The sequence below is a fragment of the Homo sapiens genome, chromosome 17 (genome assembly GCF_000001405.40).
Source record: "Homo sapiens chromosome 17, GRCh38.p14 Primary Assembly".
Classification (NCBI taxonomy): domain Eukaryota; kingdom Metazoa; phylum Chordata; class Mammalia; order Primates; family Hominidae; genus Homo; species Homo sapiens.
Genome location: NC_000017.11, coordinates 64,081,032 through 64,104,892, shown reverse-complemented (window position 1 = coordinate 64,104,892; position 23,861 = coordinate 64,081,032). Strand labels below are relative to the sequence as shown.

General features: G+C 43.7%; 1 protein-coding gene across 1 annotated transcript in view, besides 2 other annotated features; it reads left to right on the top strand.

Annotated features, from left to right (window-relative positions):
- Positions 1-23,861, top strand: part of ERN1 (endoplasmic reticulum to nucleus signaling 1) — a 91,003-nt gene that overhangs the window by 25,252 nt on the left and 41,890 nt on the right. Inside the window, exon 2 of the mRNA NM_001433.5 lies at positions 6,652-6,772. Within this exon, the coding sequence (NP_001424.3) occupies positions 6,652-6,772 (121 nt within the window). The remainder of the gene's footprint in view (positions 1-6,651; positions 6,773-23,861) is intronic.
- Positions 769-818: an enhancer, noted in NCBI's record as "active region_12580". NCBI's record gives its function as "activates an Ori minimal core promoter by ATAC-STARR-seq in GM12878 lymphoblastoid cells {active_cell/tissue: GM12878}" and the evidence as "EXISTENCE:reporter gene assay evidence [ECO:0000049][PMID:35858748]".
- Positions 22,416-22,535: an enhancer, noted in NCBI's record as "active region_12579". NCBI's record gives its function as "activates an Ori minimal core promoter by ATAC-STARR-seq in GM12878 lymphoblastoid cells {active_cell/tissue: GM12878}" and the evidence as "EXISTENCE:reporter gene assay evidence [ECO:0000049][PMID:35858748]".

Genomic DNA, 23,861 nt, shown 5'->3' with positions numbered 1-23,861 from the left:
CTGTATCTTGCCATTGACTTAGAGGTGAAAAGTCTGTGCCATTTTAATGATCTTATTTCTGACCCTTTTTTTTTGAGATGGAGTCTCTCTCTGTCACCCAGGCTGGAGTGCAGTGGTGCGATCTTGGCTCACTGCAACCCCTTCCTCCTGGATTCAAGCGATTCTCCTGACTCAGTCTCCTGGGTGGCTGGGATTACAGGTGTGCACCACCACGCCTGGCTAATTTTTGTATTTTTAGTAGAGACAGGGTTTCACTATGTTGACCAGGCTGTTCTCGAACTCCTGACCTCAGGTGATCCACCTGCCTGGGCCTCCCAAAGTGCTGGGATTACAGGCATTAGCCACCACACCTGGCCCTGACCCTTGTTATCAGGTAGTCAACCTGGGAATCAGTTCTTGAAATGTATGTCTGAAATTGACAAGCTGCATTTTTTTTTTTGGCAAAAGCAACATTTCTGAAACCCCTGATAAGGAACATTCAGCTTTCACACGTTCTGAATCTCAGAGGAGCTTGCAGGGTCTTCCCTGCTGTACTTACCATTGCAGGGGGCAACAAGGCAGTGGTAAGTGGAAACAAACCAAAACTTCAGTGATAAGGCTGCTGAAATCAAGCCCTGTGTTTTTTGTTTGTTTATTTGTTTGTTTTATTTTGAGACAGAGTCTGGCTCTGTTGCTCAGGTTAGAGTGCAGTAGCACTGTCTTGGCTCACTGCAACCTTTGCTTCCCAGGCTCAAGCAATCCTCCCTCCTTGGCTTCCTGAGTAGCTGGGACTACATACATAAACCACAACACCTGGCAAATTAATTTTTTTTTTTTTGTCAAGATGGGGTCTCCCTATATTGCACAGGCTGGCCTGAAACTCCTGGGTTCAAGCAATCCTCCTGCCTGGGCCTCCCAAAGTATTGGAATTACAGGCGTGAGTCACCATGCCCAGGAAGCTGTGGTTTTTTTGCTGGTTGTTCTCTAGCCACTGATGAGCTTGCCTCCCTGCCTGACCAGTCAGTCCCAAATGCAAGTTTAGAAACTGGTGGTTTTTTGTTAGAGGCCATTTCATTTGTTTTTGTGCTGTTTGAACACCTGTCTGCCCCTGTGTCCATAATTCTCTTTACTGAAAACTTTTTCTAAATGAAGTTATTTCAGAAGGCATTTAAGAAAATATTTTTTTCTTACCTGAAATATATATAAGTAGTTAATTAATGGAAGAGCCCTAACAATTAGCTGAATTCACAATATTAGGGAATGATTAAATTGTTGGTGATGTACCTTTCAATCATCTCTGCATAAGCAGTTGATAGCCACTTCTGTATCTTTGTAGTAAATGCAGAGTGAATGGTGGATTTTATGAATGGGGAAGCTGCTGGATTTTGTGTAACATTGCTTTTTTTTTTTTTTTTTTGAGATGGAGTCTTACTCTGTTGCCCAGCCTGGAGTGCAGTGGCGTGATCTCGGCTCACTGCAGCCTCCGCCTCCTGGGTTCAAGCGATTCTCCTGCCTCAGCCTCCCAAGTAGCTGGGATTACAGGTGACTGCCACCACATCCAGCTAATTTTTGTGTTTTTAGTAGAGACAGGGTTTCACCATGTTGGCCAGGCTGGTCTTGAATTCCTGACCTCAAGTGATCCGCCCACCTCGGCCTCCCAAAGGTGCTGGGATTACAGGTGTGAGTCACCACGTCCAGCCGTAACATTGCTTTATGATCAGAACATTGAACATCAGGATCCAGTGCTGGTCTTGTGTTGGCTTTCATAGGAGGGAGACTTGCTGCAGTCCAGCTGAGTAGGGCTGCAGTGAGGACCCTTATACTGCTGAAGCCCACTGAGTGACACATGCTGGACAGAGTCTGATGTCTGTGGGGACCAATTAGCTAATGGATGTTTAGTTTTAGGCTAGACTAGATGCCTGCCACTACCCTTCCCACCCTCCACAGTTACTGTTGGTTACTTCCTACAAGTCACCATCAAAGCCAGGAGTATATATTCCACTTTTTTTTTTTAACCTCCCAACTACTAGTTTTAAAACTGAATCAAATTTCAAATGGTTGTTAACTTGAAACAGATCTGCAGACTCGACATTTTCTTTCCATTTTCAGGCTCTCTGGAAACCAGTGTGTGTGCCGTAGGGTATGTTGCTTGTAGAGAAAAGTGAGCACTGAGGACTGAAATGGCTGGGCAAAGACAAGGCACAAGTTCATCTTTGTGAAGCAGCGTTTTTCAGTGTTCAGGTACAAATAGTTCTCAGCTGTGCTCAGTATCACACAAGGCATCTGGAAACATGTTTAATTCATGTTAGCTATAGCAACTACATTTGAACTCAGGCATGTTCATGCTTTTAAAAATGCCAGAGGGGAAAAAGCCAGAAAATTTGTCATTTTTGTTTGCCTTATGAGAGAATAACACTGTTCCGAGTGGCTCCCAGGAGTTTCGATTTGGTACAGTTGAGAGCCTTGAGAAGAACCTGCCAGTTGTAATAGTTTGTGGCATTTCTGTAGACATTGTGATTGACAGAATTCTCAGTTGCCAAATTCAGCTTCTCTCTAAACTTTGTATTTTTGAGATTTTTCCAAGACTAAATTAGTCATGTGATTAGTGTTGTTGTTGTTTTTGTTTTTGAGACAGAGTCTTGCTCTGTTGCCTAGGCTGGAGTGCAATGGTATGATCTTAGCTCACTGCAACCTCTGCCTCCCGGGTTCAAGCAATTCTCCTGCTTCAGCCTCCCAAGTAGCTGGGATTGCAGGTGTCTGCCACCAGGCCTGGCTGATTTTTTAGTATTTTTTTTTAGTACAGACGGGGTTTCACCATGTTGACTAGGCTGGTCTCAAACTTCTGACCTCAGGTGATCCACCCACCTCGGCCTCCCAAAGTGCTGAGATTACAGGCATGAGCCACCGGTCCCGGCCATGATTAGTGTTTTATTTTGATCCATAAACCAATTGTAGAATGTTGCTCTTCCAGTGGCTTCCAAGATGCTCAGACAAGGCAGGTGGCTTTTGTTTCCACTAGTGCTTCCACTAGTAGCAAAGGAGCACTGATATGTTTTGGTGAATATTAACCCTTTTTAATATTAATACTGTGATAAGATATACTTGGGGGCACTTAGTTCATTATGGTTGTACTGTAGGCTTTAATAACAGCAAACTCTTCTTATTCTTGGATGCATACATTCTTATTGGGAGACCCCTGTGTTTCTAAACTCTGGTCCCTTGTTTGGTGGAGATTAATGATCAAAGGTGGTTGACTTGCCTACTATCCTGAGGTGGAAAGTGCTTCATGTGGAACTTAGGCACTTGCTGAAGCTCCTTCGAATTCAAGCTTCTCTCCTACCTGCTAGCTTGTCCATCTCCTTTCTACTTTGTGAAAACTTCTACTTTGTGAAAAATTTGCTAATCTACAGATTAGCAAATCATATTATTGGAAGTTTAAAAAATGAGAAAAGAAGAAATATTGCTATAATTTTGCAGTATTGTTTTCCCTTTCTTTTTTTTTTGGAGACAGAGCCTCGCTCTATCCCCCAGGCTGGCGTACAGTGGCGTGATCTCAGCTCACTGCAACCTCCACCTCCTGGGTTCAAGTGATTTCTTCTGCCTCAGCGTCTCTAGTAGCTGGGATTACAGGCACCCACCACCACGCCCGGCTAATTTTTGTATTTTTAGTAGAGACGAGGTTTCGCCATGTTGGCCAGGCTGGTCTCGAACATCTGACCTCAAGTGATCTGCCTGCCTCGGCCTCCCAAAGTGCTGGGATTACATGTAGTCATGAGTCACCACGCCTGGCCCTTTTTTTCCCTTTTTCTATCTGCATTTTTCCTCATTGGGTGTGTGGTGGGGACTGTTTGGGCTGCAAGTGACAGAAACCTAATTCTAACAGGCTTAAGCAAAGAGGGGAATTTATTGTAAGGACTGGAGGGTCTCTGAGCCCAAGGGCAAGAACTTAGCTGGGCCTGAGGAGCTGTGGAAGCCAGGGTGGGCTCTCCCAGTCCTTTCAGTCATGTTTCTTCTCAGGCTGCTTTCTGTTTCTGTGTCTTTCTCATTCAGCTTTTTCCATGTGGCAGAAAACACATTCACAGAGCTCTCTGAAGTTTTATTTCCATTTTATTTATTTATTTATTTATTTATTGAGACAGAGTCTCACTCTGTCACCCAGGCTAGAGTGCAGTGGTGTGACCTTGGCTCAGTGTAACCTCCCTGCAAACTCTACCTCCCAGGTTCAAGCAATTCTCCTGCCTCAGCCTTCTGAATAGCTGGGAATACAGGCACATGCCACCATGCCTGGCTAATTTTTGTGTGTTTAGTAGAGATGGGTTTTCACCATGTTGGCCAGGCTGGTCTCGAACTCCTGACCTCAAGTGATCCGCCTGCCTTGGCCTCCCAAAATGTTGGGATTACAGGTGTGAGCCACCACGCCTGGCCTTATTTCCACTTTAGCCACCCAGAGTTTAACTCACTTTCTTGTGTGGCCTCCCAAGACCTGTTGTACAGAGTGGTTATTCCTGTGGTAACTTTGGGGGGTGGAGGAGGGCTCAGCAGGGATTTCCACTTCTTGGCCCCAGGTATGCATAATTTGCCCTTTCATTTATTCATCCTCCAAACTGTCACACCTAACATAATCCAGCCATCCCACACCAAGCTGCACACCCATTCCCCCTCCTCAGTGGCAGACAGCCCCAATTCACTTAGCCCCTGTTTACTCATGAACTCCCAGTGGCCTTGTCATAGGGCCACAGTTCTCCAGGCCCAGGTACCTGTGGTTCAGGTGGCTTGTCACCATCTGGACCCTCTGGGCTGAAATAATTCTAACCACTCCCAAACAGTGACCTTTGCATCCCCGGCTAGGGCAGATACCACCCTTGAGGCTTATGTTTTCCTGGCCGATTTATACTCTGATATTAATTTCCTAGTTCCAGAGGTAGAATTAAAAGCACTCTTCTTCCTCAGACTTCAGGCTTTGCACAGAGTAGACTCGGTAGGTGGCAACACAGCTTACTGTCCTTTCTCCCATTCCAGGGAGTGGGCCCAGGCCCTGGCCCTGGGCAAAGCGAAGAGGTGGGATGTGCAAAGTTCTAGCAGCTGTTTCACTCCCTCCGTTGGTGGGTCTCCACCACAGAAAAGGAATACGGGACCCCAGAGTATTTGTCCTGCCACCTCAGGCTGCCCCAGAGAGAGCCTGTGGGGCCTTCCCTTTGAAGGATTAACTAGGCATCCTGGCTCTTACCGAGAGTAGCCGGGCCTTCTGGGATCAGGCTCCCATGCACAAATAACCCCAATCCTTTTACATTTAATGCTCCATACTTCTGTATTTCAAAAATAGCATTTGTGCCAGAATTCAAACTGTTGCAGTATAAGCAAGTTGCATTGGCATTTTTTTTTTTAATTGAAGACCTGGGGAAAAAGCTATTTGTAGGATAGTATGTGACAAAAGAAGAGAAAATCTCATTACAAGGGTGGGGTTGCTGAAGGGACCCCTACCTCAAAAGGGAAATCTTATCCAGGAAACCTTACCAGCTGTCACCTGCATATGCGTCCGTGTGTACATGTGCGCACACACCTGCTCCCATGGAAACCCTGTGGAATGAGGGTACAATTCCTAGCAAAGCCAGAAGACAGGCAGACAAAAAAAAAAATCTGTCCAGTATAATTGTAACCACAGTGGATATCAAATCTTGGATTCTATATTTAATTGATAATGTATATAAGCATTTTTCTATATTGTAGATTTTTCCAAGTGTTATTTTAATGATAATTATTTCACTGAACATATGTCTTTATTTATCTTAGCCATTTAGATATTATTGGAAGTTTGGTTCTTTCCAGTTTTTGTGTTTATAAATGGGACGTCATGAGTATCATTGTGCACAGAACTTTTTCCATTTCTGGAGTTATTTCTTTAGAGTATAGAAGTGGAATTACAGGATCAAAAACTAAGAGCACTTTTATATTTTCCAGAAAGATGATACTAGTAATTTTCAGTGCTACTAGCAATGGATGGGAAATGTCACAGCCTTTGGTTATTTCTTTTAAAATTTTTTTTGTTTTGTTTTAAGTTTGTTGAGAAAAAAGGTACATTTTAATTTAAATTTTATTTTTATTCTAAGTGAGGACCAGTTTGGGGTTATGCTTTTTATTCATTTACTTTTATAACATATCTTTACTGGAATCTTAGTGTTTTATTTTATAAATTCTTTGTATAATGAAAGCTGTTTTTCCTATTTTGCTTTAAGCATTTTCCCCTAATTCTTTGCTTTTTAAAATTTCATGAATGTGTGTATGCGTGGGTATTGGCATTCTTTTTTATCATAACGTCTTATGAGATGCCCAGGTTTTAGAGAATAGAATAGGCCCAAGAGAAGGAAGTCAGAAAGCTGAGCATACTTTGCCCCTCTGTTTCAGTGGAGGTTGCCCATGGATTATTTCAGAATTCTTGTCCTTGTAATGTTAGGTCATGAGCCTGCCTGTCTGCAGGCAGGATCACTGCTTAGAGTGAGGTGACCTGGGTTCTAGTCCTGACTGAGTGGGAATTTAGGCTCTCCACCTTCCATTTCTTCATCTGTAAAATGGAGGGTTTTAGTAGGATAACCTTGGGAGTGGGGGGTCTGTGATTGTACATGCCCAAGGTGAAGAATCATATCAACATTAAGAGTCTTCTACATCTCGTTGCAGATTTTTGGAAGTACCAGCACAGTGACGCTTCCTGAAACCTTGTTGTTTGTGTCAACGCTGGATGGAAGTTTGCATGCTGTCAGCAAGAGGACAGGCTCAATCAAATGGACTTTAAAAGAAGGTAATTTGGATTTGGTCCTTGGGCGACATGGACATTTGCTTAACTGGTTCCACAGAAACATATTCTGGAGAAAGAGAAAACATTACTCATTATCTAATAAAATAAATAAGAAATAAAGAAGAATGGGATCAAGAGAGGAAAAGGCATTCTGCTCAAAGGACGTTTATAGCTTTGCTGTGGTTATCCACTAAGTGCATCAGTTAAAGAAGCACGTTTTATCTTCTTTTTTGCTTCTGTTTAGACTTCATGTTAAAATGGCTCTAGGCTTTTCTATTAATAGCTCTAGCTAGTTGGTCTTTATGAAGACATGCTGCACTAAATTTGTTCTCATGATTAGAATCTTGTAATCATAATTACAAGAAGGTATCTTCTCAACACCTCAAATTACTCATTTGTTTTTATAGAGGCTGAAATAATAGAGGGCTGTAAGATTTGACATTCATCCAAGTTAACCACTTTATTGGGTTGTTATGGTGAGGGGAATAAAGACTGAGCTTCTTTCTTACTTAACATACCATGCGTCCATGTTATGATCTGATCTTCCTGGTGGTAACTAGCAGAGTCAAGCCCTACAGCTGGGAAATTGTATTTGATTTCCAAAGTAATCTTTCCAGATAAAGCCATGCAAATCCCAGGATTTGGGACTTTCAGAGTCATCTATATTATTTAATCTGTCTAGTAATAAATCTCATTTGGCCCGAGGTTCGGGTCTGAACAGCATCGTTCTCTTTCGTCACTACTCTGTGACTCATTACTTTCACGAGCACAGCCAATGTTTTTCCTTCCTTAATAAAGTGTTCCAAAACAGTATGCTAGATGGAAAAATATTGGCATATGTCAGAAGGTCACACATTGTCTTGTGAATTCAGCAGCAAACCTCGTTACCATCCATAGATGATGGCAGCTGGGTTACCACAAGCCATCCTGCCCCACCTGCATGGGCCCTGCTTGGATCAGCAGGAACTTTAAGCAGCCCAAAGACCAGCTCTCTCAGGAGTGTGTGGCCACAGGAAGACTGTAGAGTGTTTTATTACAGGTTCCAAGAACATCATCTGTACTGTATCTCCATCACATTTAAGCCTTTTAATGTTTTTAAAATGAAACAGAGTCCTTCAAACTTCAGGATTTCCTATTTTGTCCAGAGATGAAAATCAACAAATCACACAAGAATTGAGAGAAACACTTTGGCTGTGGAATGTTAGGGCATGTCTTTCAGTTTCATTGTTCCCAGGCAGGGCATCTTCACCCTGAGCCACTTCATTCTGCTTTGCTTTTCCCTGCACATAATGCTTTAAGTTGGTTTTTTCCAAGTCTTCATTTCTGCAAGTAATGTCATCTGTATGCAACAAAACTGTGTCCTCTCCGTTACTTAGTCAAACATAAGAATTAACCTGTTTTCTCTTCTAACTTAGAGCTGAAAGAATTTGCCTCTTTTTAACTCAATTGAATGTGTATTTAGAGAACCTAGAATGTGAGAGATACTGTATAGCAGCAGTGCCCAACCTTTTTTGCATCAGGGACCAGTTTCGTGGAAGTTTTTCCATGGACCGGGGGAGCAGGGGCAGGGAATGTTTTGGGATGACTCAAGTGCATTACATTTATTGTGCACTTTATTTCTATAATTATTACTACATTGTAATGTAGAATGAAATAATTATACAACTCACCATAATGTAGAATCAGTAGGAGCCCTGAGCTTCTTTTCCTGCAACTAGACAGTCCCATCTGGGCGTGATGGGAAACAGTGACAGATCATCAGGCATTAGATTCTCATAAGAAACATGCCACACTACACTTGCATGCGTAGTACACAATAGGGTTCACACTCCTATGAAAATCTAATGCTGCCACTGATCTGACAGGAGGTGGAGCTTAGGCAGTAATGCCAGTGACAAGGAGCGGCTGTAAATACAGATGAAGCTTTGCTTGCTCACTCACTGCTCACCTCTTGCTGTGTGGCCCAGTTCCTAACAGGCCACAGACCCATCCACAGACCAGTATGGGTCCACAACCTGGGGGTTGGGGACCCCTGTTCTGTAGGACCCCAAAATGAAAAAGGCAGACCTTGTCCTCAAGAAGCCCATGATCTAAACCCATGGTGAAAATATGAGAACACAGGACTTCAACACAGCCGAGTCCTGTAACCACTCATGAGAGGGACTAGTAATGTGCTGTGAGCCCACATCCATTTGGAGGGCAGGAGGCTCTGTGAAGTGGGGTGTCAGAGGTAAACCCTGGTGAATGAATTGAGTTCAGTCAGGAGTGAGGCCTGGAGAAGAGCGAAGGAGGCAGCAGGTCTAGGGTGCAGGAGCTTATCCCGTTTAGCAGGAGCTTAGCGTTTCCAGGTAGAGGGAGGGAGGATTACAAGGGGATGTTGAGCCTTACTGGATGGAGCACTTAGGCATTTGTATCTGACTGAACAGGAAATTGGGAGCTGTTAATGTGATTGAACAGGTGAGTGACTCAACAGGTGCTCGCTTTTCGATGACTCTAGCAGCTGTGTGTGGGATGACTAGAAACAGGAAGCAGACCTGGAAAGGGAGGAGGGATGGGAAGGGTGAGAGGCAAGCCAGAAATAGAATCAGTAGAATCTAGTGACTGACTAGGGAGGAGGAGTTACAAGACACTTAAAGAAGAATTAGATAAATCCAATTAAGGTCTAATAATTTCTTTTCTTTTCTTTTCTTTTTTTGAGACAGAGTTTCCCTCTGTTGCCCAGGCTGGAGTGCAATGGTGCGATCTTGGCTCACTGAAACCTTTGCCTCTTAGGTTGAAGTGATTCTCATGCCTCAGCCTCTTGAGTAGCTTGGATTACAGGCATGCGCCACTATGCCTGGCTAATTTTTGTATTTTCAGTAGAGATGGAGTTTCACCATGTTGGCCAGGGTGGTCTCAAACTCCTGGCCTCAAGTGATCTGCCTCTCAAAGTGCTGGGATTAAAGATGTGAGCCACTGTGCCCAGCCTAATAATTTCCAGTAGTATTCATGATGATCTGTTTTTCTAAGAATAAACTGGCATGTTTTAGTTCAGCCCTGGATACCAGTGGCCTTGACTTATATTTCTATACAAAGATTAAAGATGGTAATGTGCAGATACCCTGAGTTTTCAGTTTAATCTTGTGGTTATAACTGAAGATTTCAACATTTTTCTAAATTGTTAAATATAGATAAATGATAAAGGTATCCAGATGCTACTCTAGGTCCTGAGGATACAGCAAGTGAACAAAACAGGCAAACCCTTTTATCATAAAGCTTTCATTCTAGTGGGAAAACAGGAAATCAGTTACTTAGTAGTGACGAGAGGTTTGAAGAAAAAATGAAGTGGGGACATGGAATGGGCAGTACCAGGTTGGGGTGGGAGTCTGCAGTTTTAAACAGGGAGGGCTCCACGGAGAAGGTGTCATTTGAGCAAGAGCTCAAGGAGGCAAGGGAGTCTTGTAGACAGCCGGCATAGCGGGTCAAAGGTGGAGTGTCCTTAAAAAAAAAAAAAAAAAGAAAGGATGGGAGTGTCCCTGGCACGGTAGAGGAGGAGCACAGAGTTGATGTGGCGGGAGGAGATCAGCTCAGAGAGAGATGGGCCAGTCATACAGGGCAGGAGGGACCCAGCGCTTCCTTTACTTCACATGTACTATAAAGTTGCTTACTGAAACAAAATTTATAGTCAGTAAACTACGTATACACAGTTTCAAAAAGAAATAAACATATTACCGAACTGGTAATCTAAAACAAATAATAGGAAAGTATTTTTTTAATCACATAGATATAGCATGTAAATGCTCGGACACACGCTGACACTCCCCCCAGGAACAAATGCTGTGCCTGTTGATGCAGATGGAGACAAGTGCAGGATAGTTTACCACCATAGCCACGGCAACTGGATTTCCAGGACGGTGAACTGTTCTTGGTAGTGTTTCAAACAAAAGAAGTACAGCCTTACCTGCCTTACACAGTAGTTACGTTCCAAGAAAATTCTGTATATTATGAAAAAGTACATTTGTGCTTATGTGTAAAACAGGCTATAGCCTCGGATAATTAGTAAAGGGTTTTGGCCCATGAGAATGTCTGGCAGGACATCAGAGTGGCATGCAGATGCAGGGCAATCCTTGGTTGTACAGGACCGCTAGCATCCCTGGTCCCCCACACTTAGTGCCTGTAAAGTCCGCTAGTCTCTGTGACCACCAGAAAATACCTTCATCGATTTCTCAAGCATTCCCTGGGGAGCTGTGCTCTCCCTACGGATACCACTGGTGTAGGGCCTAGTGGCTGGTGTGAGGACATTGGCTTTTCCTCAGCCGTTGGAGGAACCTGAGGCAAGGAGCAACATGCCCTGTTGTTCTGGACTGAATATTTGTGTCATCCTTCCACTGCCATTCATAAGCTGAAGCCCTGGCCCTCAGTGTGATGGTACTTTGAGATGGGGCCTTTGGGAGATAATCATGAAGATGGGGCCCTTAGGATGGATGAGTGTCCTTATGAGAAGGGAGAGACCAGAGCTCGCTCATTCTCTCTCCACCATGTGAGGACATGGTGAGAAGGTGGCCGTCTGCAAGCCAAGAAGAGAGCCCTCACCAGAAACCAATCTCAGACTTCCAGCTTCCAGAACCATAAGAAATAAATTTCTGTTGTTCAAGCCCTCTAGTCTATGGTATTTTGTTATAGTAGTCTGAGCAGAGTAAGGCACATGGCCTCCACTTTACAAGATCAACAAGTGCTGTGTTGAAACTGAACAGATGGGGCCAGGAAGAAACTGGGAGGCCAGGCAGGGGTGTACTGCACTAGTCCAGACAAGAGAGGATACAAGCTTGGGTCTGAGTCTCAAAGAGGGATTCAGAGCTGAATGGAATAAACTTGCTGATGCAAACACATACCTTTAACTCACCAAACTGGGGTTCTTCAGAATAGAGGCCTGCAACTCCATTCGGCTGTTTACTTTTTTCAGGAGCCAATGAACTGGACATTTTTATGTATTTATTTACTTTTTTTTTTTGCTTTCTGTGGTGGTTTGGCAGGTGCTTTTGTTCCTCAGCCAAACGTGTTGTAGTTCCCAGAAATGGTGGTTTCTTACACCATAGTGGCAAATTATACGTAATAGAGAAAATGCGTTTTGTTTTCTGGAACTCATTTGGGTTGTGACATTTTACTTTAGGGGCCATCCTTCTAAGCACTGATTTTGTAGCTGTAGTCTGTCTTTCTCTAAAACCTCACCAGTGAATAGAGTTGAATATATTTCATCTCTGTACTTTTAGACGAAATGCAAACTGAGAATGTTGCCATCATGTTTTGTTTTAGATTAGCTTGCTTTGGCCTGATGGAGTTGAGAGGACTTTCTTTAGTATTTCCAGGGCTGGTGTAGGGCTTCTTGAGCTCACCTTAAAATACTAGTTAATGCTGATATTTAACACTCAAATCCCCATCAAATTACAGGTTATTCTATAGCAACCCTGCTCTATTCTTTTCTGTCTCCTTTCCAATAATAGTAGGCATGAAGAGCTGGGTCAAATTAGAACCATTCTTTACTAATCATGAAAATCTGCTAAATATGCAATATGACTACTCTCCTAGCCAGCTGGGCCCAGACTCCGGAGATGTCCCTTGAGTGGACATTTAGATAAATGATAAAGCTATCCAGATACTACTCCAGGTTCTGAGTATACAGCAGGTGAACAAAACAGGACATAATACTGGAGATTTCTTAGGAGGGAAGAGTCAGAACAAAGTTATTTGAAATTTGAAGACAATTTTATTCTCACGTGAGTGTCTCTTTCTAAACATGTGCCTCTTGCCACAGTTCCTCCCTGTGCTGACAGAATCACGGCCAAGCAGTATAGAAACTAGAGAAAATAGAATGATGCTGTGCTACTTCCCCCTTGATGCCCAGTGGTCACCAAGCCCTGTCATGCAGACTGGGAAGGACCCTGCAAACCTGACTCCTCTCTGGCCCCATTGCTGGTGCCTTAGCCAGGCTCTTGGCACTTATTTCCTAGGTGAATGCAGCAGCCTCCTGACCACCATCCATGCCCCCCGCACCTTAGCCCTCTCGTTCACTCATCACACTGCCCTCAGATACACCCCCAAAAAGACCAATTGGACCTAGCTGTACCCCTGCCTGCTGAAATGCTCTTGGTGTTGTCTATAGTGGTGGCGTTGTGCCTGCATCAGTGTGTGTGGTGTGTTACCTGTGAATGATGAGGAAAGGATAAATAGGGAGCGTGAGCATCATCCATGATGGGTTGGCCGTTTCAACAACTGGCCCTTCACCACTGCTAGTTTGAGAAGTGCTGCTCCACAGGGTCAAGTCTAAGCTCCTTAGTGCATGTGCAAGGCCATTCGTGGTCTCTCACCGCCGCCCCCCCGCCCCAACTCCCTGGGCTCCCTCCCCTGCCCAGCAGGTGCCCTACTTGCAGCCATGTAACTCCTTACCAGGCCTTGGAGACCTCTGGCCTTTGCTCATGCTCCCTCTCTACCAGCAGCCTGCAATGTTAGACAAGCTCCTGTTCATCTGTGAAGACCCCATTTACCTCCCTGGCTTCTCAAGCAGGGTGAGCCCATTTTTTCTCTGGGTTCTGGAGGTGCTTTTCTGAACCCTCTGTTGTGGCACTTCTGGCTTGTGTTGTAAATTTTTGTTCTCATTTGCTTCCTAGTGGATTTCTACCTCCTTACTGGGGCTCTGGGCAGCCAGGATGCTCAGTAAATGTCCAAGGCACTTGATGCTGACTCGGGTCCCAGAACTCTTCTGCCTGGACGTCTTTTGGGAGTCCTGAGAAACAAATGGGACTTGACTGCCTTCTCAGGATGAATCATTTGTTGCTTGTATCATAGTCATGACAGTTTCCGGTTCTGGTTTCTGATCTTGAGTTTTGCATGGCCTTTGGCAGTTGGTTTTTCTGTCCTGCTTTAGGCAGTGTGTGGGACTCTGGAAGAGTTGGAGATCTGTCTTCAGAAGTGCAATGGAAACATGAGAAGGGGAAATTGTGAAAAGTGATGATGTTTTGTTAATAGATCTAACCTGTTTTCTCTCAAGGACTTTTCTAGGCTTACAATATGCATCATCTACCTTTTTACCCTCACTGCTTAAGTATAAGAAAGGTGTTTATTTCCTCTTCATTGTTGTGAAGGATTGAAAATTAAGTTTTATGAAAGGGGCTGTGAGAGAAACCTGTTTTTACTTTTGAGCATCTTGGAAATGTGTTGGTTCTTTCTTTTTTTGTATTTTACTTTTAAACATAGACGGTTTAAAACATATCCAAATGTAGAAGTATTATGTAAAGAACCCCCATGTACTCATCACTCAGCTTCAACAGGGACTGGTTTGTATCTAGCCTTGTTCACCTGCACCCCCACTCACTTTCTTCCCTTATTTTTGGGACTTGCTTCAAAGTAATGCATTTCTCATTTCGGATGGCTCCTCTTAGCAGCTGCCACACACGTAGTAGCGTGGATCTCAGCTCCGATGGGTCGTCTTTGCAGCATTGGTTGGTGTGTGTTGGAATATGGTTGTGATTGTTGAAGTACATGGATAAAGTGCCTTATTTTGTCTGTGACTTAGTTACCTGTCCCTTTGTTCACTTTTGAGTGTCTGGTTTGATGGCACTCCATCACTCAGGAATGAATTCTGTGAAGTTATGACATCCTGAGAGGCATTTGGACACAGGCTGTAGTGTTGAATTGTCTTCAGTGCCTTCATGATTGATTATAACGTTCAGTGTGTTTTTTGGCCTGAGTTACTTCTGCCAAAGTAGAGATAAATGAGAACGCAGTAGACTTCAGCTGCTTTTAGTATGGGCAGTTTTCCGGATTACTTGGTCATTTCTATGTGATCGTCTTTGCCAAGTGTGACACTTCGTGACTTATGGAGGTTACCTCCAAAGAAAACTTATTACATCCTTTTCCAGTTCTGCTGAGATTAGAAATTGAGGAGCTTTTGATTAGATGTCTTTAAAAAAAAATGCTTTCCTCATGAAAGCTGAACTGTAAAGAATGTTTGAGACTTTCTGTCTTAAAATTTGGACCTAACAGCTTTAATGGGAGTTTATGGCTTAGGTTAATGAAGTGCTTTTTCTCTGGAGGGAAGGAATGAGCTGCCACTGGGGAGAAGTACTCCCTAATTGGGCCACTCGAATGTATGAAACATATTTGGGAGACTGAAGGTTTGAGTTAAGGAAGGGTGAATGGCTTTGTTTCTGCCAGTAATTTTTTTTTTTAATAAGAAAACAGTATTAGAACCTTAAGCACATTCTTGAGAAAATAGCAGTTGTTTACCTCATTCAGACTATGCCTTTCTAGTTTCACTGTTACCTGTCAGCCAGGGTTAAAATCTCCATGTCACCTTTAAATCGTTCCTTTCTCCCACTGCATTTATCTAGACAGGGCTCAGTTTTGCTGACACTCTTTTCCCTCCTGTCTGTTTCTGACTCCCCTCCACCCCGGCTCGGGTCTATCTGTTGCAGCACCTTTGTGATTCCTTCTCCCTTTTTCCCTTCATTTTGTGCCTCAATGCCCGCCTGTCTAACTTGCCTTCAGAGGACTTGTACAGGTTGAATATCCCTTACCCGAAATGCTTGGGACCTGAAGTGTTTCTGATTTTGGATTTTTTTAGGTTTGGAATATTTGCATTATATTTACCAGTTGAACATCTCAAATCTGAAAATCTGAAACCCAAAATGTTCCAGTGAGCATTTCCTTTGCACATCACGTTGGCGCTCAGGCTTCAGATTTTGGAACATTTCAGATTTTGGATTTTCGGATTTGGGATGCTCACCCTGTGTCACGTTCCTCTTTTTTTTTTTTTTTTTTTTTTTTTTTGAGATGGATTCTCACTCTTTTGCCCAGGCTGGGGTGCAGTGGCACGATCTCGGCTCACTGCAAGCTCTGCCTCCCAGGTTCACGCCATTCTCCTGCCTCAGCCTCCTGAGTAGCTGGGACTACACGTGCCTGCCACCATGCCCGGCTAATTTTTTGTATTTTTAGTAGAGAGAAGGTTTCACCATGTTAGCCAGGATGGTTTCGATCTCCTGACCTCATGATCCACCCACCTTGGCCTCCCAAAGTGCTGGGATTACAGGCGTGAGCCACTGCGCCCGGCCCACATTCCTCTTTTTCTCAGAGGCTTCCAGTTGGACTCTAGTGACCAACATTCCACATCACAAAGTTTTCAAGGCTTTCTTCCCCATGGTGTCACTGCCTGCAGTCCAGCTTCATTTGTGTTGTTCCTCAGGAGGAACATGTCACACTTACTGAGCCTGCGTCCTCTGTCCCGTGAACACAGTGACATTTTTTCACTCATGTTGTCTTGTCATCCCTGTGCTTGGGGCCGGCTGCCTTTATGAGGGTTTTCTGCTCCGAGTATTCCGGTCCCCACCTAGGAAAGCCTGTGGTGCATGCCCCATGTTCTAGCAGTTCGTTATGTGTGGTTCATGTGTATTAGCTTCGTAACTCAAACCATAAGCTCCCTTCTTTATCCTGCATGGCACTTAACAGAGAACCCAGCTGAAGCAGATATCTGACAGTTGTTTCTGAGATGTGTTTGGCGCATCTCAACAGAAAGTTACTAGTAGCAGGGTTGTCAGTCCTCTTCCTCCTCGGCGGGGAATGGGGGTGCATGTGTGTAGAGGATTACACAGACTATAAAGCATTTGAGACTTCATCTCTGCTCTTTGGGTCCTTAAATACCTTTCAAAAGGTATTTTGAATACCAACCCAGAACATTTAAAATCACTGCTAGGGTTACACTTAGAAGGGACTGGTTTGGGGACTTTCTAACTGTGTGGTAATATCTTAGTTGTGCAGAAGAGAGAGCTGATTTCCATTGCTGCGTTATGGGGGTCAGAAGGGTGGTCAGATGGGGTCAGAAAGAACAAGGTGGAGGAGGGCAGTAAAGCCAGAGGTCATCTAGAGTCCAACGGAAAAGCAAAAGCAGGGTGTTCCAGAAATATCCGTGCTCATCTGGGAAAGATAAGAGAAGGATCTTGCAAGGCTCCTTGAGCTCCAGTTAAGTGAGCAACCTGTTCTTGTGGCTTCTGTAATCAAAGGGATCTTACTTCTTCCTACATGGAAGGAAGTCTGCCCAGAGCTACCTCCAGAGAGAGGCCGTCAATCTCGAAGTCTGGTTTGAAACAATTATTTAAATTTTGGTTGATTGCATCAAAGACATTTTTCTGTTCAGCTGACTTATCACCCCATGTTTTCCCCAGGCCCTCACGAATTTTGCCAGCCCTGCATTTAGGGAAGCCTGGGATGGTCCTGACAGGGTCCTTCATGCTCTTAACTTGGGTTTCCCTTCAGTCTCTCTGTGCCCTGTGCAACTGGAAGAGCAGGCTCTTCAGAATTATGCCACAGGTGAGAGCAGGAGGAACAGGCCATTCTCTCCAACCTATTGCAGATGTTTGCCTTAAATAGCTTCTGTTTTTAGCTTTTTTTTTAACTTTTCATTTTATAAAAACTTTATACATACCCCAAAGTAAGAAGAGTAGTATCATGAAACCATGTACCCAGCACCCAGCTTCAATAATTATCAATGCGGGGTAATCCCTGTCCCTCTCCCTTAAATACTTTTCAAAAGGGCCAACCCAAAACATTTACAGTCACTGCTAGAGGTACACTTAAAAGGGACTGGTTTGGGGACTTCCTGAGTTTCTAGGTTGTGTGACTGGGTGGAAGTGGGACCCACTAGCCAATCTGGGGAATGTGAACTGAGGAGCAGGTCCTGGGGGTATGGCCTTGGGCTGAGACACCCATAGCAGTTGCAAGTGGGACTGGGTCAGGAGTCCAAGGGAGAACATCCTCAGATGCCATGCGGAGGATTTGCAAGTGTTGGTTTTGATCACGGGAACTTGACAGTGGCAGTTCTGATCTTATTCTGAGGGTAGGGGCCGGAGGGCAGTGAGTGGAGGAAGGTAAGAAGGCAGGAAGGTGGAACAGAGGATTCGGAGCAGTGTAGTTTCCCCACATGGCTCAATCACCCAGCTTGGGTTATAAAGGCAAATTCCTTGTCTCTACCTACAAAGCCAGCTTCCTGGGGGAAGAACCTAGGAATCAACATTCTAAAAATTCCATAGGAATCTCTAATACATTGCTGGTGGAAATATAAAACAGTACTACCAGTTTTGCAAACTGTTTGTCAATTTTTTGTCAGAGGTAAACAATATGATGCAGCCAGTCCCCCTCCTTGTTTTAAGAAATGAAAATAGGCTGGGCACACACCTATAATCCCAGCACTTTGGGAGGCCACGGCGGGTGAATCACGAGGTCAGGAATTCAAGACCAGCCTGACCAATAGGTGAAACCCCATCTCTACTACAAATACAAAAATTAGCTGGGTGTGGTGGCACACGCCTGTAGTCCCAGCTACTCGGTAGGCTGAGGCAGGAGAGTCACTTGAACTCAGGAGGTGGAGGTTGCAGGTTGCTGAGATTGTGCCACTGCACTCCAGCCTGGGCGACAGAGCGAGACTCCATCTCAAAAAAAAAAAAAAAAAAAAAAAAAAAGGAAAGAAAAGAAAAAAAAAGAAATGAAAATAGGTCCAAATAAACACTCGTACACAAATGTTCACAGAAGCTTTATTCACACCAGCCAAGAAAATAAAAACAACTCAAATGTCCCTCAGCAGGTAAATAGGTAAACAGATTGTGGTAAATTCTTATAGTAGAATACTATTTGGTAATAAAAAAGAGCGAACTATGATACATACAACAATATGGATGAATTTCCAAGACATTATGTGAGATAAAGAGGCCAGGCACAAATGAGTATCTATGACGTGGTCATTTGTGAAATTTTAGAACAAACAAAATGAACTGGTACTTATCTGGAGCAAGATTTGGAAATACTGAATCCAAAGGGATGTGAAAAAATGTTTTAGGGTGATGGAAATGTTCTGTATCTTGATGGTGAAGATAGTTACATGGGTGTGTGTTTTTCAAGATTGATTGAACTGTAAACTTAAAATGGTTGCACTTTGGAGGAAAAGGAGAGTGTGCAGAAGAGCAGGCAGAGCCAAGAGGTTTTTGTGTTTATAGGCAAAGGAGGAGTTGAAGATCCTTGGAGACAGGATCTAGATGTGAGTGTGAAAAATCTATGAGTGTGAAGACAAAAGCATTGTCCCTTTATAGAGATGTGAAGGGAAGGGTGGAGCTGGGCAAATGTAGAAGACAAAGGGTAGGAAGTTTCAGCAAGCTCACTCAGTCTCCCTTAATATCCCCTATGACACAGAAGGCAGAGTCATTTGTGGAGAGACAGGGACCTTGAGGCAAGGAGTAGTTTGAAATATCAGCTACAGGGGTGAGAACAGAAGCCAGCCAGGATCTCCTAGTGGCAGGGGCCTAGCTGGCCACACCATGGAGATACCACGTATCATGGTATCTCCACTAATGATCGCAGTGTTTTCTACAGCTGTGCTCAGAAGGCTGGGTGGAGGAACAGGGACTGCTATGCAGATCCTGGGTTCAGGGTGAGTAGAGCTTATCTGCTGGATTATTAAAAGTGATCAACAATGGATTTCCAGGCTGGCCAAGAGTGGAAGTAGGAAAGAAACTGCGCTAGTTTGAATATTTGACCCTCCAAACCTCATGTTGAAATTTGATTCCCAGTGATGGAGGTGGAGCCTAATGGGAAGTGTTTGGGTCTTGGGGGTGGATCCCTCATGAATGGCTTGGCGCTGTCCTCATTGTAGTGAGTGAATCCTCACCCTATTAATTCCTGTGAGAGATGGTTCTTAAAAAGAGCCTGGCACCTTCTCCCCTCTCGCTGCTTCTCTCGCCCTGTGAGCTCTGTACACTCCGGTTCCCCTTTGCCTTCTGCCACTAGTGGAAGCAGCCAGAAGCCCTCATCAGAGGCAAATGCTAATGCCATGCTTCTTGTACAGCCTGCAGAAACGTGAGCCAAATAAACCTCTTTTCTTTATAAATTACCCAGCCTCAGGTATTCCTTTATAGGAACACAAACAGACTAAGACAGGAAATGACACTTAATTACTCCATTCAGCAAATACGTTGGTTACCACCTGTGTGTCAGGTATTGTTTTAGATCCTTGGGAAGATGCAGACAACAAAAAATAAATCCCAACCCTCCGTGGCCAGAGTTGGGCATTAAGTAAGCAATAAAATATACAGAACTACAGAGGTGGTAAGTGACATGGAGAAAAATTAAGCAGGGAAGAAGGGTTGGAAATCCTGGGCAGTAGGAGGTGATCATGGAAGACCGCTCTGAGGTGGCAACAGTTGATCAAAGACCTAGGCAGAGGAACAGCCAGTGCAAAGGTCCTGAGGCATGGGCAGGCCTGGCAGTGCTTGTTGAATACTTGGAGGCCGGCATGGCTGGAATGGAGTGTGTGGGAAATAGTGGGAGATTGTTAAAGGGTGACAGGTTGAAAGGGAGGGACTGCTTGGGATTTATGAACCACTGTGTAAACACTGGCCTTCACTGAGTGAGATGGGGAACCACCAAAGGATTTTGAGTCACAGAGAAGCTTAATCTGATTTATGCCTTTAAAAGGATCACTCTTCTCAGTGTCAAGGCATTGACTTATAGTCTTGACAAACATTTAATCCACATAGAGATGCCCCATGAGGTTGATGTTATCTCTATTTTTTTTTTCCTTACTGATGAGGAAATTGAGGCTCCACGAGCTTAAGTAACTTTGCCAAGGTCACTCAGCTGGTGATTGGCAGAGCCAGGATTTATGCCTTGGTTTGTCTGATTCCAAAGTCCACACAGATTAAGAGAGGAGGGAAGGCTTGAGAGACAAAGGGTTCCTATGGTGTTGAAGGGAATGGGAACAGGACACAGAATTATGGTTGGCATCGAAACAGACCACAGAGTTTGGCAACTGATAGCATGTGTTAGGGAGAAATAGACATCAACAGTGTCGTTTGAGTCATGGCTTTCTTCTAGGAGAATGGTGGTACTGTTAATAAAATACGGTAGTCAGGAGTAGAAGCCAGTCTCAGGCAAAAGACAGAGGGCGTGACTTGGGCAAGCAGAGGCTGAGGCGTTGGTGGGAAGTAGTGGGCGTGTCCAGTTGATCCAGAGAAAGGACCCGGGAGAGGGGAGCCTAGAACCCCACTGTGGTTAGGGTGGAAGTTATAGAGAGGCATGTGCTCTCTGAGTGAGAAGAAAGGCTGAAGGGAGAAGCTGGCAATGTTCCTCCCTGTGTGGAGGAGGGAGTGGGGACAAAAATTCACTGCTTTTGGGGACAGAAATGTTTAAAACTTTACCCTTATGAACTTGGACAAAGGAAAGATGTGGACGTCTGTTTTGTTATTTGAGCTTAAAGAAGTGATTTAGATTAGCCTAGCAATGAGCATCTTGTGACCTCACCCAGGATGTCAGTTCCTGCAGGTGTAAAACTTGTGCCATTCCAGGCCTCAGCTGGACACACGATGGGGGCCGGGGAGTGGAGTTGAGGCCAGTGGCTGCTCCCAGGGGATCAGTGAGCAGGTTTGTTTCTTTCCCGTGTTAATCCTGGGAGACCAAACCTTGATTTCAGCTATATTTTCCCTCTACCTTTACCAGATAACCTTACCTTTACCTTACATAACAGCCACTTTTTATATTTGTGAAGTAACTCCCCCACAACTTTTTTTTTCTGAAAGTAAAACAACTTGGTGACATTGGCTTTTATTCTTATCGGGCCCCATATAGATAGTGGCTTATTTTACAGCAGTATTTGTTTACATCCCTACAGGTAGGACAGTGTTTCTTTTCACATGGCTGAAAACTTTTTTTTTTAAAGCAAGAATCTTACCTGATATCAGTTCTCATTATTAAATCAAAACCACTTTTTCATGTTACTCTTTTAGTGCACATTTTCAGATAATGCTCTTTTTATTTTTGCTGACTTTCCAAAGATAATTTTCTCTTTAACCTTTTTTAATATGAAAAAATTTAACCATATGTACAGAGAGTAGTAAAATAACACTCCAGTGTTCCCGTGTCTCATCTTTAACTGTTATCAACAGCCTGCCACTTCTTGTTTTATCTGTCCTCCCCGCCCCCCGTATAATTATTTTCTGTAGTATTTTAAAGCAAATCTTGAATTCAGATGATTCTTAAAGAAAAACATTTACAGAATTAGGTCATTGTTACATTTCAGAAGCCAAGCAGCAGTGTGTCTGCCTCTGTCAGAACTGTCTTAATAATTGTGTCTTTACCTGGGCTGCAGCTTTGAAGAGGCTTATTCCAGGTGCTTATTTTACTGAGTGGATGGGAAATGCTAAGATAACCATAAGGCCCTCCTACTGGAGTTTATCTTCTCCTAAGCCTAGAAAAAAAAAATCACAGTTCTTAAACACCAATGTAGTTGTCCCGGGAATCTTCCCCTGTCTCCTGCCAATGTCCTGAATCTTAACTGGAACCTTCCTGATACAGGGCATATCTTGGGACCTGAGGCCTCAGTGTCAGGTGACCAGTGGATAAGCTATAGAAAACCAGGAAAATCTGCATCTGAAGACGAGTCTGTGTGACTGAGCAAACACTGTACAGCAAAGATCAGGTTATGAACAGGAATTTAAATCATGTTGGTCTGCATGTCTTGTTTCTGGTGAATTCCTGGAATTTGGCCATGTCCTCTTAATCTGTGTTTATCTGTGATACCTTTAAGTGGCTGAAACAAACAAAAAAGATGCCATTTTACTGCTGTGTTTTCTTCGGAATATGATATTCTTGCTCTTCTTGGCTTGCATGCCTTCAGGCCGGTGTTAAAATAACTGGGTTATTGCACCTTGACTAGCTTGTTTCAGTAGGATGAGTGTGGTGTGCCTTTATTTCCTGTCTCTTGCATCAGTCTGTTTGTGAGAGTGTACCGAGAGGTGATTAATGGGAAAGATAAACATGTGCTTACTGACTGAAAGTTCTTCCTGTTTCCTAGAGTGTTTTTGGTTTAGTGAGTTGTTTGTTTGCTGCCCACAGACCGCATATGGTGTGTGTACACCTCTGTTGTTGTGAACACCATATGCCTTTGTATAGGAGCTGGGCTTTTAAGCAAAGTCAACATATGATAAGGCTTAAAAGATTTTCCTTCATCCAATAATTGGATGGATTGGACAGCCGTCTGTCACCATAAGCAGAGCCTACAGAGTCTGGAATTCTGCATACAAAATCATGTAAGAATACTTGCTGTTCTTGCCCCCCAGAGATTAAGTTGTGTATAGCATGGCTGTGGGGTTTTGGTTGCTGGAAATACCTCATCGCTGTGAGTCTCCTGCCTGCGGACTTTTGGATCTGTCACTACACAGTGCTGCTGTGCCAGTGTTCATGCTCTCTCACTGCCACCACCATCTGCCCCTGGAATCAGGAGCTTCCTCTTGCTTTGTGCCCAGGAAAATCTAGGGAGGGAAGAATTCTGCCATTAATTGCTGCAAATGTAAAATTGACTTAGAGAAAAAAACGTGTTCTCAATTTAAAAAGTAATGCCTGCTCTTGCAGAAATTTTAAGATATAGAAAAGGTTGGGGGGAGTTGCATTTCCAACAAGGATAACTTACAATTAGCATTTTTGATCTTTCCATCTAATTAGGTACATTGAAGCCTTTCCCCATAGTTGCATTAATACTCTATGTACAATGTTATCTTTTCTCCTGAACATAATAGCATAGGTTTGTATATGTCTTAAAATTTTATTAGCCCTCTTAGAAGCCTTAATTTTTTGCCAAGTGGACATTCTATAACTTAACCATATTATTGGGTAGGTCATTTGTAATGCTGCTACGTACACATCTTTGTACAAAAACCATTTTCTATAGTTTATATTGTCTTTAAATTAGATTTTATAAAAATGCAATGGGGGGGCCAAAGGGAATGAACACTTGGAGGCTCTAGAATTGCCGCTCCAAAGAGGTGTGTCCATTTACTGGCCAATCAAAGTTAGTTCTTAAACCCATTTTACTTTTCCTAATGGGAATATGTAGAGCTACTCCAGGCATCGGACAAGGTAATGATTAAGGTTTTAGAAGTCTTTGAGGTGTCAGATAGTGATGCTCTGACCCCTTGTCCACGGTGTGTGGTGACTGGTTCTTCGTTCTGCATCCATCCCCCAAGTTATATGCAAGTTTCTTGAAAGCAGTTCTGTTCTGGTCTCAGTTCTCTATCCAGCCTCA